At 39.5% G+C, this 17641-nt stretch overlaps 1 protein-coding gene and 1 pseudogene across 12 annotated transcripts in view; one reads left to right on the forward strand and one right to left on the reverse strand.

Annotated features, from left to right (window-relative positions):
* The window catches only part of HECW2 (HECT, C2 and WW domain containing E3 ubiquitin protein ligase 2), a 399483-nt gene that overhangs the window by 85519 nt on the left and 296323 nt on the right, over positions 1-17641 (reverse strand). For all 12 annotated transcript variants that reach the window (NM_001348768.2, XM_006712646.4, XM_047445197.1 and 9 more), the window contains one exon: positions 12975-13160. In NM_001348768.2, coding sequence (NP_001335697.1) covers positions 12975-13160 — 186 coding nt within the window. The remainder of the gene's footprint in view (positions 1-12974; positions 13161-17641) is intronic.
* On the forward strand, positions 9819-10117 carry RN7SL820P (RNA, 7SL, cytoplasmic 820, pseudogene; annotated as a pseudogene).

Consider the following 17641-nt stretch of genomic DNA (forward strand, 5'->3'; position numbering starts at 1 on the left):
TTCAATTACATCACCACCCCAATACAAAGCTTCTCATGGCTATCCATTGTCCACAGAAAAGACATTCCCACTCTTTGGTCAGTTTTTCATTACTCTTTAACAGTCTGCCTACATGCCTTTCCAGTTTAGTCGCCCATTACACACCCATACAAACTCATCACATACCGTCTAGAACTTTGGGTAAGTCACTTAAGTTCTCTGAGCTATATGTTTCTTACAAAAACATGTCTCCTTCATTCCTGACATTTCTCCCCCATAATGTGTTAGAAGAATGGAAGCCATGTCTGTCATGATCACTGCAGAATCTCTGATAACATGAAATCATGAATGAGCATAAACCATTTACCTCAGCATTGCAGTAAGATGGACTACAATGTAGCAAAGCATTTTTTGGTCTGTTTGTTTAATTCTAAAACTATACAAGTGCTATCTATCATTATCCTTAGGGGCCCAATGTTGTAAGTTTTCAAAGTAAAATTGACTCAAGGTAATAATGAAACCCATTATCTTAAGTACAATTAGAAATTGTAAGTTTTCCATGATCAGATAGTTAATTAGGTCATCAAAGATGAAAGAGGCTATTAGGAGAGCCAGGAGACTCAGTACCTATAAACCAAGTATCAAGGCACATGATGTATGCCAAATAACAGGCAAAAAAGAACTGACCTTTCAAACCAATGGAGCTCAGTTAACAAAGTACCTTAACACCTAGAGATGAAGGTATCTAGGCAAATGCCAGAGGCAGATAGTATATTTATGCCTATTTAGAAACCTATTTTCCCATTATGGAACAGAATGTTTCATATGGAACTCTATGTACATCATCAAGAAATGGGGCAGGTCCCATATAGAAAACATTTTTACATCTTTATAAAGAAATAACTTTAAGCAATGGATGTACCAGAAAACAAAGCAGAAAAATGGACAGAACAGGAATCTTTCCCAGTCCTTTCTCTTACTATCCAATTCTGGGTACAAAAAAATAAAGGTTTTGTGTGAGATTTTGTCATCAGCCTCACATCCTGGGTAATGTTTCCTCTTCACTAACCTTGAGTGAAACATCCTTCTTCTCAGGTCTTGTAAAAAGTACTCCAGTGATAAAACCTGTGTGGACTTGCATTGACAGGTTCTGACCCCAAATGTCACATTGGTCCCATTTGGTTTGTGCTTCTAATACAATTGTCCACTATTTCTGCCACTACTCAAAATGTCATAAAATAGCAATTAAACTATTTTGCACCAATGGATGTGGCTAATACCTATTTTTAAATAATACATATTAGAACCAAACCCATATCCTCTGTATGTAAATGGAGAGTAACAAGCTTTTATTACTAACACAATCCTATTAACCATCTTGTTTAAGGGAAAAATACAAAGAGCATAAATTAGAATGGCCTATTTACCTAATTTCTTAGGAATGTTTTGAAGGGATGGGTGGTCATTAACGGTACAATGATGCACTTGTAATTATAAAGACAAATGGGTGTCTACATGTAGGTCAACTATGATTTGTATGTAGTGTCATAGCCTAATGTGATGTTAAGAGGCTTGTCTAAAATCCATTCTCAAAAGAACTATACTGCAAAAGCCTTGCAGTAGTGACTGTATCTTAGTCACTCTGTTATCCCCAATAGCTTTTAGGGCTGTGCCTGGGAGAAAGGGTGCTCAGATAAAAACAAATTGGCAAAAACTTGAATTTCCAACCAAAATACAAGGAGACAACTAACAATTAACTAACCAAGTGCTAAAAAGCATGTTCTTGGGCCAGGCGCGATGGCTCACACCTGTAATCCCAGCACTTTGGAAGGCTGAGGTAGGTGGATCGCTTGAGCTCAGAAGTTCAAGGCCAGCCTGGGCAACATGGCAAAACCCTGTCTCTACAAAATATTCAAAAATTATCCGGGCATGTGGTGGCAGACACCTGTAGTCCCAGCTACTTGGGAGGCTGAAGTGAGAGGATCATTTGAGCCTGGGAGGTGGTGATTGCAGTGAGCCAAGATTGCACCACTGCACTCCAGCCTGGGTAGGTGACAGAGTGAGACCCCGTCTCAAAAAAAAAAAAAAAAAAAAAAAAAAGCGTGTTCTTTTACCGAAATACTTAAGATTTGGGGGAAAAAAATGAGGGAAGCTAAAGACCCTAAAACCACAAACAGAAGATTTTAAAAATCCCATTGTAAATGTACCAGTTTAAAAATTGAGAAGTGGGAGGCAACATAATGATTAAATGCTTTGAATTTGGAAAAAGACAAGCCTGGTTCTGAGCTCTAGTTTGCTACTCACTAGCAATGTCACCTTGGGCAAATTAGTTAAAATTTTTAAACCTCAGTTTCTTTTCCTGTTAAATGGGGATCATAACTACATTAAAGGAAGGTTAACTGAGATAGTTCATATGAATTTTTGAGCATGCTGCCTGTGACACGTCAAATATGAGGTCCTATTATTTTCACAAATAATAGTTTTCTTTTCTGAAACAGTTTCCTAAGGATCACAGTGTTTCTTGCTAAAGCCCATACACAAGGCTCAAAAAAAGGAGGACCAGTGAAAACTGTGTTTGTTAACAGGCTCCTTGTAAGTATGTGTGGCCGAGACTAAGTTCTGACCAGTAAGATGTAAAACATAGTACTTCTGGGAAATCTGATAAGGGACAGATGATCCTTCGTTCTGTCCTTCACCCATCCTACCCTCTGAAACACAAATTTAATAGTGGAGCTCCAGTAGCCATACTGAACCATGGTGATTGTTGAGGAAAAGAGTCAAACTCTGTAAAATATTTGAAGAGATTTATTCTGAGCCAAGCATGAGTGGCCAATGGCTTGTGACACAGCCCTCAAGAGATCCTGAGAATGTCTACCCAAGGTGGACTTGGTTTTATACATTTTAGAGAGGGCTAAGACACCAAAAACACATGCAAGATATATGTTAGTTCAGTCTGGAAAGGCGAGACAACTGGAAGCAGGGGTGGGGGCGGTTCTAGGTCATAGGGAGATTCAAAGATTTTCTGTTTGGCAATTGGTTATTATCTAAAGATCTGGAATCAATAGAAAGGAATGTCTGGGTTATGATAACGATTGTGGAGACCAAGGTTTTATCATGCAGATGAAGCCTCCAGGTAGCAGGCTTCAGAGAGAATAGACTGTAAATATTTCTTATCAGACTCAAAGGCTCTGTTCTATCAGTCTTAAGGTCTCTGTGTTGGTGTTAATGCTGGTCAGCTGCAAGGCATATCCAACCCCCCACTTTCCATCATGGCCTGAACTAGCTTTTTTAGGTTAACTTTGGAATGTCCTTGGCTGAGAGGAGGGGTCCATTCAGACGGTTGAGGGGTTTAGAATTTTATTTTTGGTTTACAAAATGAAGGATGGCTGAGCAAAAAGTTGGAAGGAGCGGCTAGGTGTGGTGGCTCACACCTGTAATCCCAGCACTTTGGGAGGCCAAGGCAGGCGGATCATGAGGTCAGGAGAGGGAGACCGTCCTGGCTAACATGATGAAACCTCGTCTCTACTAAAAATATACAAAAAGTTAGCTGGGCGTGGTGGCAGGCACCTGTAGTCCCAGCTACTCGGGAGGCTGAGGTAGGAGAATGGCGTGAACCCGGGAGGCAGAGGTTGCAGTCAGCAGAGATCACACCACTGCACTCCAGCCTGGGTGACAGAGCAAGACTCCATCTCAAAAAAAAAAAAAAAAAAAAAAAGTTGGAAGGAGATGGGGGCTCTTGCAACATGATGAACTCCCTGGTCAACCCTAGACTGCCTACCTCTCAACTTCTTTATGTGAGAGAATACACTTTTTTTTTTTTTTTTGAGATGGAGTCTTGCTCTGTTGCCCAGGCTGGAGTGCAGTGGCACAATCTTGGCTCCCTGCAACCTCTGCCTCCCAGGTTCAAGTGACTCTCCTGCCTCCACCTCCCAAGTAGCTGGAATTACAGGCACGCACCACCACGCTACCACACCTAATTTTTTGTATTTTTAATAGAGACGGGGTTTCATCACGTTGGCCAGGCTGGTGTTGAACTCCTGACCTCAGGTGATCCACCTGCTTTGGCCTCTCAAAGTGTCGGAATTACAGGCGTAAGCCACCATGCCTGGTGAGAATACAGTCTTGTATGTTAAAACGTATATGGGTTTTCCACTACAATACAGTCAAATCAAATCCCACTGGAAACAGTGAAGTTTCCACACTGCAGAGGAAAGACAGTCTCTCTAAAAGTAAAATCAGAAACCACCATTATATGTAGGGATTTTCCCTATTTGGTGAATAATGATATATCTATCATTCACCTTTAATACAGCCAGAATACAATTCCCAATTTAAGTGAAATGTACAGTTGGAACTTACCAAGCTGGGATTTGAACCCATGTTTCTGTCTGACCCCAAAGCCCAATGAGCAATATCTTTTTCCCCACCTCTCTGCTTTTCATACATCATCTCCTTTTTTCCATTCTGCTTTCTGCCTACCATCTTTTCCTTTTTATGTTCTTCCCACTCCCCTCACACCTTATATCATACTTTATTTTAGGAAAACATTTCATTATGTATTGAATGAGGCTGACGGTAACAGCCACTCACAGTGCTTGGCCTCACCAGTTTCAACACTGCAAAGTTTCAAGTGGAAAGACTGCTACTGATCCCAGACAGCATGCTCTACATACTGCGTCCAATTCTCATCGCTAATCTGTTGGAAGGATGGCCATGGGTGGAGAATAGGTCCTATTTGTATCCCACAAGGGGCTCTATTTCAGAGTCAAATGGAATGTGTATATTGTTTACACATGTTTTTTACATCTGCCAAGTACTTAGGGGAAAAGTCTCAATTAAGACCTCCATCAAAGCCACACAGCTAGGGCACTGACTGAATATAGCACTTCTAAGGAGCAATCCCTTGGTGTGAGTTTTGGCTCTGCTCTGGGCCCACTGTGTGACCTTGGACAGGTTTCCTTAGTGCTTTGCTTTATTCACATAAAGGAAATTACTCAGGTCACAGCTGAATTGTGAAAAATAGATTCTACTTTAAAATGAAGAGAAGAGCATGCAAAGTCCAAGCATGCCATTTCTATTTGTGACACACATATCAATTATGTCAGGAAAATGGATCACTTTCCCACAGGAAATGCTACCTAGTTCAAGCCAGCAATGAAGCTGACCTAGTACATTTGGATCACTTTATGTCACAGTTTTTGAATAGCCTGCAATTATTTATGTAAGTATCTATCACATATTAATAAATGCTGTCTAGAGTAGAGTATGTCGAGAATGCAGGCATGAAAAAAGAAAAATATGGAAAAATAGATCCTTTTCACATTGGCTACTAGCAAAGCAAATTTTGAACAATATTGATTCCCTAATGCTAAGTTTCATTAAGGAAATTCACTCAAGCTTTACAGTGCTGGGCCAACTAACAACTCAAAAACTGAAAGGAATGCAAATACACAAACTCGAATCTCATTTTTAAAAACATCTACCCTTTCACTGCTTCAGGGCATAGTCAGAGTCAGGAAATATGGGCTAGTTGGAGCCAAGTGGTATTTTAGTGAAGCCAAACAAAATACATTTCTTTCTTTACACAATTCTTTCTTTTTTCTTTTTTTAAAAAAACTTCTATTATTTTAAGAAAAGAAAAAGCCATCACTATTTATGAAGAAATACCAACCTCAGGCTCAACAAATCTAAGTTAAAGAAGTTTGAAATCGTTTCCAGTTACTATTTTGCCACTAAGGAATACATATTAAAAGGCTATATAAACAAAATAAAACAAAAAGTGCTTGTAACTATGCTACAGAACGCTACAGAAAGACAGAACATCCGATCTTCCATTTTTCTTTCTGTAAAGAGTTATGTAAACAGTGAAAGGACAATAATTGATAAGCCAGAAGCACTATGTATTGTATCTGCTGTAAATTCTGGTGTCTTAGCCTACAAAGTCTTGGAAGTGCTCAAAAAAAGGCTCATTGTAATCTACTTTCATTTTTTAAAGATTGTATTTACTTACCCATTCTCTTCCTTCCAAATTATAACTCTCTTCTCAGCTCCTGGCTCCTTCCCCCAAGATTCCCCCAGTTATAAGGAATAAACATGCTATTATTTTCTTTATGTCTTAGACAGACTCTTTGTCACAAATAGTGGAGATGAAAAGGGCTGAATGATACAGTTTATCCTCAGTAAAAAAATCGTCATGCTAACTTGGTTCTTTTGAAGGAATCAGTAGTCCCAATTATTTCATGACATCTGTATCAGTCACAAAAAAGCTTATAGAAAAGTATTACGTTTAACTGCTATGACTGCAGCTCTAAAGGTGCTAGGAGAGGAAACAGGGATTTGTGGTACTTGGGCCAGAGTCCCAAAAACAGTCGGTTAGTAGATGTGGACAAGCACAATATAAGTACAACACTTTGATGTAAAATGTTAGCTAAGGGAGTGGTATTTTATATGTTGGGAGTGACAGTATTTAGGCGTTCAACCTGTAAGAGGGGAGCCAGTGTTATGTTGGAGATGGCTTGTACCAGCTTGTGAGAGCGGACTGTAATTTTAAGGAATTCTGTGAGCAGGTTGATGTGATGCTGACAGCATGTAATTGACCATGTTGGGAGAATTTACACCATCAAAACTGGCAAGTGCTACAAATCAGCCCTCCTCTCCACCTGCCACAGAGAGCTGATTGTTCAACATTTCCCAACTTACAGCTGTGGAAGAGTGGGAATAAAGTTATCCAAATTACCACATTTTAGGTGGAGTAGAAGTGCATTACCATGAAATGTTGAAATCATATATTCATATATATATATTTTAAGATGGAGGTCATATATATATATATTTAAATCCATGCAGGTCATAAAGACAACTGTTAAAAAAGAAAAGGCAAAGACCATCTCTGTACTTAGGCAATTCCTTCAAGATTCCATGAGTCTACTGTTTTACTCAGAAATTTATTCATAAAACCGATCTCTGCTCTATTTTCTCATTCAAAAAGGTACACAACCCCTAGACAGTTTATTTTTGCCATCTGCCTTCTATGTACACTTACGCATTAATTCTTTCTAACATATTTTTACCTTTTAAAATAGACAAGAAGTCCTTAAAAACCATGTGCTATCTATCATTTTATAGTTTAATTCCATCAACAGCTAGATTGCTGCATAACTTAAGGTAATTAAACCAGATACCCACCACAAGAGGTATCAGTTGTTTCTAAGCAATTAAAAATGTGTCACAAAAGTAACAAATGTGGTGGTCAAGTAGACAACATATTTTTCAAAATGTAGCACTTATCTTGCTAAGAGACTTTTGAAATTATAATAAGTTGTGGCCTCCAAATATTAAGTTGCACTTTACTCACTGAGATAAATAGGACTTGACCCAGTAAATAGTTGCCATCAGTTTCATGCAAGATTGAAACCAGGGTCTGGGTCATTACTGAAACAACTGTAGCCACACAGGCTATTAGGGTCTGGTAAAATGAGAATTCTCAAATAGGCTCAGCCTGTGGTACTTTCTACCCTACAAATATTTGTTCTGTTCTAAAATCTGTCCTCATAACCATAACTGCTATTTGCTGTGGTTCTCAAAGATGAGTATTTGGACCATTCTGATACTTAAACTCCCAATCTGACACCCAAAGTCAAAACCTCTAGAGTTACAAAGCTTGGACATAGCAATGGAAGCCAATTTAGCTGGGAGATATTGTAACACATGATTTCTGTAAGGAAAAACACAACAAACTATGGGAAAGATATTTCACTTTAAATAAGAAGATGGTTCCCATTGTATATTTTTATTTTTTAAAATCTCATGACATTTATGATATGTCACTTATAAAGTTCAAAGTTTCTTCGCATCTTGATTTAGGCCCAAAGAGAATAATCTGGGGGAAAAAACCCTGGGTTAATATTGTTTGAGAGTCTAAAGCAAAGAGGCAGGGGGAAATAGTCCGTATTTAACATCTTAAAGGAAATTTTAAAAAAAGAGACTTTTTTTTCTAAAAATTAAATCAAATAATCCCATTATGTAAACTTGAGAAATAACAACTTTCACGGTTTTGTTTTCTCATTATCCAAGTCATCTTGTAGCATTCTCTCAGTTTGACTCTCTGCAGTACAGCATCCACTGATTTCATGTAATTCATATGTGTCTCTTGAAATTCACTCATTATTTCTTCACAGGAACCAGAAATACCCACCTGGTGCTTTCCTGTCTCTGTGCCTTTCCTTTGGGTGTTTTCCCCACCCCATTCCTATTTTCTCTCTCCTCCAAAATCTCTTTTAACCAAACTTCAACCCATCATTTAAGGCTCACCTCAAACACTGCTGTTACTATGAAAACTTTCCAGGTATCTCATGCCATAAATAAGTCATTCTACAGTGGACCCTTGCATAGCACATACCAGTGCTAAGGCACACATCCTTTTTTTTTTTTATCTTTTTTTTTTATTATACTTTAAGTTTTAGGGTACATGTGCACAACGTGCAGGTTTGTTACATATGTGTACAGGCACGCATTCTTTTATAATTCAAAGAAGAGGCATTTAGGGTAAAAGAGCAATGTCTAGGAAAGGGATGGTTAGTGGCTTTACCCAGGAAGTACATGATTTTGTGCCAATGTGTCGATCTGATTTCAGTTCCAGTTCTAAATTACTTGGCTTTCAAGGATGTTTCTAAAACCCTAGTTTCATGATCATGGCTGACGGAGAATACAACCACCAGAGCAGAATTCCACTGATACAGCAAGAGAACAAATCCACTCAGACACCACAGTATCAGAGCATGCATCATACAGAAACAGAGAACATTCCATGTCATTATACAGGTGTAAGGCAGGAGCAAACAGCCCAGGTCAGACTACCCTGCAGTGATCAAGAACAACATGGACAGCAAAGAACTGTAACACCAAAAAGAAACCCTGCTGTGAAAATGCCATTCTCTCAGACCACCATGGTTAAGGGAGACCAGCCGTTCCTTAAGAGGAGGAATAGGATGCTGACATGAATCCTACAGTATATCCCTTATAAGTCATCATGCATTTCCTATAAGAGTAAAGATTCATCAATTAACAAATCTGTATTATTTTCATGAAATGCCAAACTGATGAGATTTTTTGGTTACTATTCTATATAGATCCCTACTTCTACCTCTAAATTTCAGTAAATTATGAATGATAATAATACCTACCTTATAAATTATCAGGAGGCTCCCACAGCATCCTGCCAAGCCCTTGCTATCTTCATGATAATTGCTGAAGATATCCCTTCACCCTCCTTACTGGTGAGAGGCAGGAGAAGAGCACAGACTCTGGAGCTGGACTGCCTGGGTGCAAATCCAATTCCACCACTTACGAATTGTGGGACCTTGGTCAATTCACGTAATCATGCTGTGCCTCAGTTTCCTCTTCTATATAATGTGGATAAAAATAGCACCCATCTCCAGGCTGCTGTGAGCACTAAATGAACTAGTGTCTGGCCCAGGGGCAATGCTACATACTCCAGAATACTACACTAAGTGGTAAATTTTTATCATTGTTAGCACAATGGTACACACCTCAGAAGTGTTGCTGAATGACTAAATAAGTGAAAACACGAAAGGAAGATGTTACACTAGAGAAGAGGAGATGGAGGCAAATTTTAGCCTGAGAACATTTCTGTTAAGAACCATTTCCTTTCATGCAGATGAGGATATGGACATCCTGTTTCATATCAACTCTAGAAATCAGTCATCACTGTGGGAAAATAACTTCATAATAGTTAATAGCTTTGATGTTGCATTACACGAAAAATGTTTTCTCCCTTCAAATGTTCTAGAAGCACAGCAACTCATTTTTAAAAGGGTCAAGGCAGGCAGGGTGGCACGTGCCTATAGTTCCAGCTACTTGGGAGGCTGAAGTGGGAGGACTGCTTGAGCCCAGGAGTTCTGGACTACAGTGTGCTATGCCAATCAGGTGTCCACACTAAGTTCCCCAACAATATGGTGAACTCCGAGGAGTTGGAGATCACCAGGTTGCCTAAGGTAGGAGGAACCAGCCCAGGTTAGAAATGGCACAGGTTGAAACTCCCATGCTGATCAGTAGTGGGATCATATCTGTGAACAGCCACTGTACTCCAGCCTGGGCAACATAGCAAGATCCTGTCTCTTAAAATAAATATTATTAAATTCAATTAAAAGGGGCTAAAATTCCAGGGTTGACAGAAAACCTATTAGCTGCCTATTCATAAGACAGGAGACAGGACTCCTAACATGCAGCCCAAAGCAGAGTAGCCAAACAGAGACCGAGCACCAGCCTCCCTGAATGCTCCTTTAAGTTATTTTAATCTACTGGAAGCTGGTCACTTGGAAAGAAACTTACATGGGAGAATCGCATGGAGATAAATCTGCTTTAGTTAAGGTGTCCAGCTTAGCTAAAAATCTTATTAAAGTCTTAATGCATGACAGAGAGAGATCAGGCTAAAGTGATAAGCTTTTGGGTCTGCCTGTTAATCTGTCTTGTCCACAAGGCAGGGGTCCTTCAAATCTTTCACCCCAAACAGGATTCTAATGTAAAAGCCAGCAGCAGATTGTGAGGTCAGCTCTCTACCAGCCTACACTCAGGGTTCTCTACAATGCCAACTTCAAGTTGTAAGACCCAGATTAGTAAAAACATCCCCAGAAAATAGGATGTTTTGTATAGTCATGTTATGAACATGGTTGAGATAATGTTTACTCCTGTTTAACCACCAAAACTTTTATAAAAGCTATGAGACAGAACTTGTTCTTAAGAATACATTACAACTCTTCTTCAATAGTATCCTATATGTAATTGAAACTTTTTTCAAGGTTCAGGGGTTAGTAAAAGAACCTCTCTCCTAAAGTGTGTCTGGCAAGTTATGACTGGCAAGAAGGGACCAACCCCTGCCTTAACAAGTTAAATCTCAACACAGAGCAGAAACAGATGCAGCATTATCCATTATCTTAACTTGGGTTTTCCCTGGACCTCTGATTCTCTAATGAACACAGCTCCTCATTCATGATTCCAGGTAAAATCTTGTCAGAGCTGAAAACAGATGAACTCTTGGTGGGCTACTACTCTTTTATACCCAGGTATAATACTACCAGTATTTTTCAAAGTCCTTACTTGGACCATCTGTGCCCTTCCATCCAATGGAATATTTACAGGCACTGGGCTCTCAGGCTGTTGAACCAAATATAGTACCAGCAAAGCCATATCTTCCCCTGGTGTCCCTGCTTCCAGCTCAGTGTTCTGGAAAGGCTTCTCTGTCACGCCCATCTGACTCTAATTCAGTGTCATTTTACCTGTGGTCCAGGGACATAATCACAAGCCCAATTCTCTTTCATCTCTCCTAAACTTCATGCTTGCCACTTCTAATCTTCTCTTGGCTGGGAATTAGAGGTTTATTAAAAACACTTGCAGAAATCAAGTCAGTAGTTTCAATGAGAGTTTAAGGGCTTCTCCCATGCATTAAAATACATGCATTTTGTAACAACCATTTTGACTACTCATAGATTCTCAGGTAATATTGCTGGAAGCTGAGTTCAGGATAAGTAAGAGGCTATTGTGGTAAAGTTCCCTCTGCTAGAGGGAACTTTGGGGGGTAAATGGCATTTACTGAGTACTTTACGTGTTCCATTTGCCTTGAATGTTGATATACTTTACTCCTTACTTCTTTCAGGTATCTGCTCACCTATGGCCTTATCTGTGACATCCTCCCCAACCACCCTCTATGAAATAACATTCTCCATTCCTGTCTTTCACTAGACCTCATTTGTTGCGTTATTTTTCATCATAGCATTAATCAGCTCTTGGCCTACAAAGAATAGTATGTTTATTTATTTGTCTATTGCCTGTCTCTGAGACATGAATGCTGCATTCATGAGAATGACAGTTCTACAAAGTAGTTGGCTTACCTGTTTTGCTTAGGCGCTCAACAAATATTTGTTGAACAAACACTCCAAGGGTTGTTAAATACTTTAAATATGTCATTTTAATTTTCCCTACCCTTCAAGTCACATATTCCCAGACTTTTTATAGACAGAGAAACTGAGGTTGGTTACTCAATACTTGCAGAGCATAATGTCATGGTTAAGAGCATGGTTCCTGGAACCAGCCTGGCTGGCCTACAGCGTGGCTCAGCCACTGCCTGTCTCTGTGATGTCAGGCAAGTCACTGAACCATTCTGCACATGGAGCTGCTTATCTGTACATGGCAATAATAATAGTACTGCTTTATCAAAGTTGTGGTGAGGACCTTAAGAGCTTAAACAGTTCATGGCTCATAGTAGGTACTACATAAGAGTTAAATAAAAATTAAATCTTAGCTGAGGGTCACCTTATAACAAGCACTAATTTTCTCATTCTGATTTCTTACTCATAGAATGACTTCCTGATTGTAACCAGGCTTTCTGGTTCATCCACCTACAGAGGAAGTACGGATGTAGCTATTCTGGCCTGTGTTGCACAGTTACATATTTCTTGTCATAAATTAATCAATCAGTGAGTTTTGGTTAATGTGCTAACAAAATCACAGTTCTGAACCAGTAAGACTGAAGCCCAAGCCCAGACAGTGTCACAAAGACACACCTCATGTAGTTGCTTGCTTAGTGACCTCCTAGCCACCTTCTCCAAATAATACCACAACTTTTTATTCAAATACCTACAACACAAGCTGTATCACTAGGGATAAGGAAGCACTGCCTGAGAACCCTTTTCTCTAATCAGCAGAGCATAGAGAGAGATGACAGGTAGGAGAGTTTCCAGGGAGAAGTGAATGCTTTGCCAGCGTCACAGCCCTCCCTCCGCTCCCTCCACGACTTCAGAATGGCACAGTCACTGTTTGTGGTCACAAACAACCTGCTGTCCAGGTTTCACTTGAACAGAAGGTGGAATGTTTCACCTCACAAAGAGCCTTGGCCCTCACTTGAAGGGTAGGGCCAAGTGTCGAAGCCACAAGCAGCCCACAGGCATTTGGCACTCCCTGAGGCATCTCCCTCGTGTTACCTTGCCCTGGTGATCATGTTTCATTTCCCATCCCCGCGGCAGCTCTAGCTGTTTGTTCGCGAACATGTTGAGGAATCCCACAAGGTCGCGGTTATGCTGGTAGCGTTCAAAGTGGTGGGTGTCCCTCCGGACTTTGGTGATCATGTGCTTCAAACACGTGTTGTTTGTAAACATGCGGTAGGCACTCTAAAGAAAAGAATGGAGAACCAATGTTAACCCACTTGTGACATGCAGAAGCACCAGAAATACTACACATGGGTATGGCTAATCTTCCAATAAGTAATGAAATGCATATATAAGCTTTGACAGAACTCTAGACCCATGTATGGAAACAGCAGACAGAGCAAAATATCTTGAACAAAATGAAACATAAAGACTACAGAAGGTAAGGCAGTATCCACAGCTGGTGTCTAGTTCTCTTTTTTTAACTTTTATTTGTATTTGAAGTTCTGGGGTACATGTGCAAGAAGAGCACGTTTGTTAAATAGGTAAACGTGTGCCATGGTGGTTTGCTGTACCTATCAACCCATCACCCAGGTATTAAGCCCAGCACGCATTAGCTATTTTTCCCTAATTCTCTCCCTCCCCCAGTCCTACTCTGAAACAGGCCCCAGTGTGTGTTGTTCCCCTCTCTGTGTCCATGTGTTGTCATTTTTCAGCTCCCACTTATAAGTGAGAACATGTGGTGTTTGGTTTTCTGTTCCTGTGTTAGTTTGCTGAGGATAATGGCTTCCAGTTCCATCCACGTTCCTGCAAAGGACATTATCTCATTCCTTTTCGTGGCTGCATAGCATTCCATGGTATATATATGCTACATTTTCTTTATCCAGTCTATCATTGATGGATATTTGGGTTGATTCCATGTCTTTGCTATTGTGAATGATGCTGCAATGAACATATATGTGCAGGTATCTTTGTAATAGAATGATTTATATTCCTTTGGGTAAATACCTAGTAATGGGATTGCTGGGTCAAATGGTATTTCTGGTTCTAGATCTTTGAGGAATCTCCACACTGTTTTCCACAATGGTTGAACTAATTTACTAAAGAACAAACATGTTGTGGAGTCTCACTGCACATGGGCCATTAAATCCTGAAGCTGGTTTTAGGAAAGAAACACACAGTCAAAATTATACCACACTGGCGATGAATATGCCACCTTACAGAGAGCCCTGACATAGCCAGTTTCTCCCCCAGTATTGGACTAGGTTATTGGCTCTCTGAGTGAGTGCCAGATGACACAACTAGTATACACTTAAGGGCCAAGTTGCATGGAAAAATGCTTGCCATACATTTCTATACTAGAAGGACATGCAATGGAATGAGTTGCTCTCACTGACCATCACACTCAACTGAGATCACAATAGACTGAGGTTTTAGAATCTCACCCTTCATAGAGGCATATAAGCTTGGTGAATGGAATAGCAGGCTGAGGTGCCTGGGCTGTACATCTCATTCTTTTTTCTTTTTTTCTCTTTTTCCCTGTGTATATTTGGTTGGATGTATATGAATGAAATGCAAGTTTAAAAAAACTCCACTATACCACCACACAGAAAAGTGATTGTTTTGTCCAAAACCTTACAGTCTTCATTTCTATGATATTTAAAGAAGATTCCACAAACTGACTATGTCATGATTGTCCACATATGAGTCAGTCAATAAATATTTATTGCATAATACCATGCACAAAACAGCAGAAGAGGAATAACTGTATGGCAGCTGTTTCCTTGAATCATCAGAGGGAATATGATATTCATGAAACTGACCAGGCCGTGAATGATCATCCTGGAACTCTATTCTTCTCAGACTGATTCAAAGGGCTTTGGATTCGTTTTATCTTTAGTGTCTCAGGGACACTAGACTGAGTCTGGACCTCTTCCAGCTTTATGGGTTCTGTTATCTATTTTAGTCTAAATCGTATGGGTTCTGTTATCTATTTTAGTCTAAACTTTATGGGTTGTTATCTATTTTAGTCTAAGACAGCCCAAGGCAAACCCCAAGGACTCTAGAGTCTCTGGAAATGATTTCATTTTAATAAACATTTATTGTCTTTGCTGTACCCAGTACTGTGTTCGTTATTAGGGATCAAAGAAGAATGAGTGTGAAGACAGTCAACATTGCTCCAGTCTTTCTAGGATCCCTCAAGATGTGTCATGTCCAGGTCAAAGCATTTATTGCTGATGTGAGTCCCTCTAGAGCTTTCTTCCCTTTGACACAGCAAGTGGCAATGTTTGAACAGGGATGCTCCCCAGCCTGGCTCTCTGGGTCCCTGAGTGACCACAGGGACCCTGATAACCTGACTTGGAATGAGAAGTAATCCTTTGTTAGCTTAAGCCACTGAGATTTGTTGGTCATTATTATTGAAGTATAACCTAAATTATTCTGATTGATTTACCGTCATTAAATACTTGTTCCCTATCAAAACAAATTAAAGGAAAGAAGAAAGGAAGGGAGGAGGAAGGGAAGAAGAAAGAAGACCACAATGAACCATCCTTGAACCTTAATTCCTCAGTACACTTGAGTATAAAATACTTTTGAGTCATATTTCAACCGACAGGCTAAATAAGAGGAGGTTTTGATGGCTGTGAGCAGTTGTGTGGTTCAGAGCAGAGAGTACTGTCAATGCAGGCAGGCCTATGCATGGGCTCTGGGCAATTAGAGAGCATGAGAGGATAGGAAAGTGATACCATGAAAGCAGAGAAGGAAATAACAGAAGTTGGGCAGTGTCAGAAAAAACCTAACTTCAGCTAAGTAACAGTTTTGGCTCTATTGGCTGACTCTGCTTTGAGTTTTAAATACAATCAGCAAGGCAACTGTTTTCTGCATTTGGCTCAGTGTTGCTGATATATTTTCACATAAGTCATTGCAAGTTAGAGTCCTGAGACCACACTAGTTTGTGTAGGGATCATAATGAGCTTTCAGGTCTTACTACCTAAGAGTAAAACAAATATTAAGTCTCTTCAGGGACAAATTATTTGGGGGATAATTCTGTCGGATAAATCATTACATTACCCATTGTTCTAAATAGGTATACCTCTTTATCGCCTTCACTGCTCCCTCTTCTCACTAAAATAACTAAATAGGCCACATTCTGATTTCTTATCTAGAGCACCAGAAATGCTCCTCACTTTGTTAAAAAAGAACTTCATTAGGGCAAGAAGCAGTGGCAATTAAGTTAAGAAACTCATCCCAGCCTCAGACCTGAAGTAATTCCCTGGGGCTGAATAGCTCTTTAAGCACAGAAATCTTAAGGCTGGTCTTATAATTAATTATGTCATTTCATCTTCCTCCTCTCCACTCAATGAAACATGTAGTATGGTGCCAAACACATCTGATCTTGCAAAGAGCATCTACCAAAGTAATTCAATGCAGGAGATTTCTCTCAGTAACTAGTAAACAATCTTTAGATCCACAGCCTTTTCAAGTCTGAATAGTAAGTACATGACTGTTAGGGTCTATACAAAACTCTTAAGCCAAACAGGAACATACTTCTAGACTGCTATGTTTCTATAAAAAAAACTATGTTTGAATAACTTCATATGTTTATGCAAAAACTGTGTGTGTATAGATATGTATATATAGTTTATGTGTGTGTATATATATATGTAATTTATATATCTATAGTTTGGGAAGGATATTTATACTCCACTTCATATAGAACTACAGTGCAGATTCTAGTCTCAGCTCTGTCACTCATAGAGACAAAGAAAACTACTTAATCTCTGTCTCAATTTGCTTAACTGTAATATGGGATAATAATAACTCCCTTGCTTTCTCCATAGGCACGTGAGATTCAAATCCAGTGGGACAAAGGATGGTAAAGTAATTTGAAAAGGTCAAAATCACTTTAAGAATACAGGCTATAAGTAAGTAAAAATATATAGGGGATTACATCTATCATACCTGTGTTATAACAGATAAAGAAAGTGGCAAAATTGTTCACCACTTTTAGTCTTTGAAGATCCTGGCCCAGCATCCCACATTCTATAAACTGAACAAGGGTCTCCTAAGCTTCATTAATTATGTGCTAAGCCATGTGCTAAGCCCTGTGCTAAACCCTGAGGATACAGAGATGAGCAAGGCCTGATCATTCAAAAGGATGAAGAAGGAGAATTATAGGGGGAGGTGGAAGGAAGAGATTCACCAGAGGCAGAAAGAGTTGGAAAAACAAAGGCCACGACAGTCGTGAAAATACTGAAACACACGGACAGAATGAACAGAGGTAAGAATGGGAGCAGTCCAAAGAGCCAAAAACACTAAACAGATAGGATTAGGTTGACAGAGTTTAGTCTTCATGAAGCTGATATTAACAAAGCTGTGGGTTAAGAGAAAATATTTTCCTTTGTTCTCCTGGGGTTTAGTGGTTCTAACTAGGTAAGGATCCTTTTCTATGTTTGTTTGTTTGCTTGCTTATCTTACAGAAAAAGATGCAGTAAATGAATCTGATATTTTACTTGAAACAAAAGTAGGTTAGAGGAGAGCCCATGATACCTATTTCATAACATAGTCTCATGATAATGAACAGAATTCACCTGGGAAGCCACTGCACGTGGACTCGAGTAGTTAAGAGGAATTGGTAATTGTTAATAGTAGACAAAGCCCCTTTAAATGATCTCTAAAGGAAACAACACTTTGTTTTCCTTTGACATAATTTAACTATTCTTTTT

Source organism: Homo sapiens, chromosome 2 (genome assembly GCF_000001405.40).
Source record: "Homo sapiens chromosome 2, GRCh38.p14 Primary Assembly".
Taxonomy (NCBI): Eukaryota; Metazoa; Chordata; class Mammalia; order Primates; family Hominidae; genus Homo; species Homo sapiens.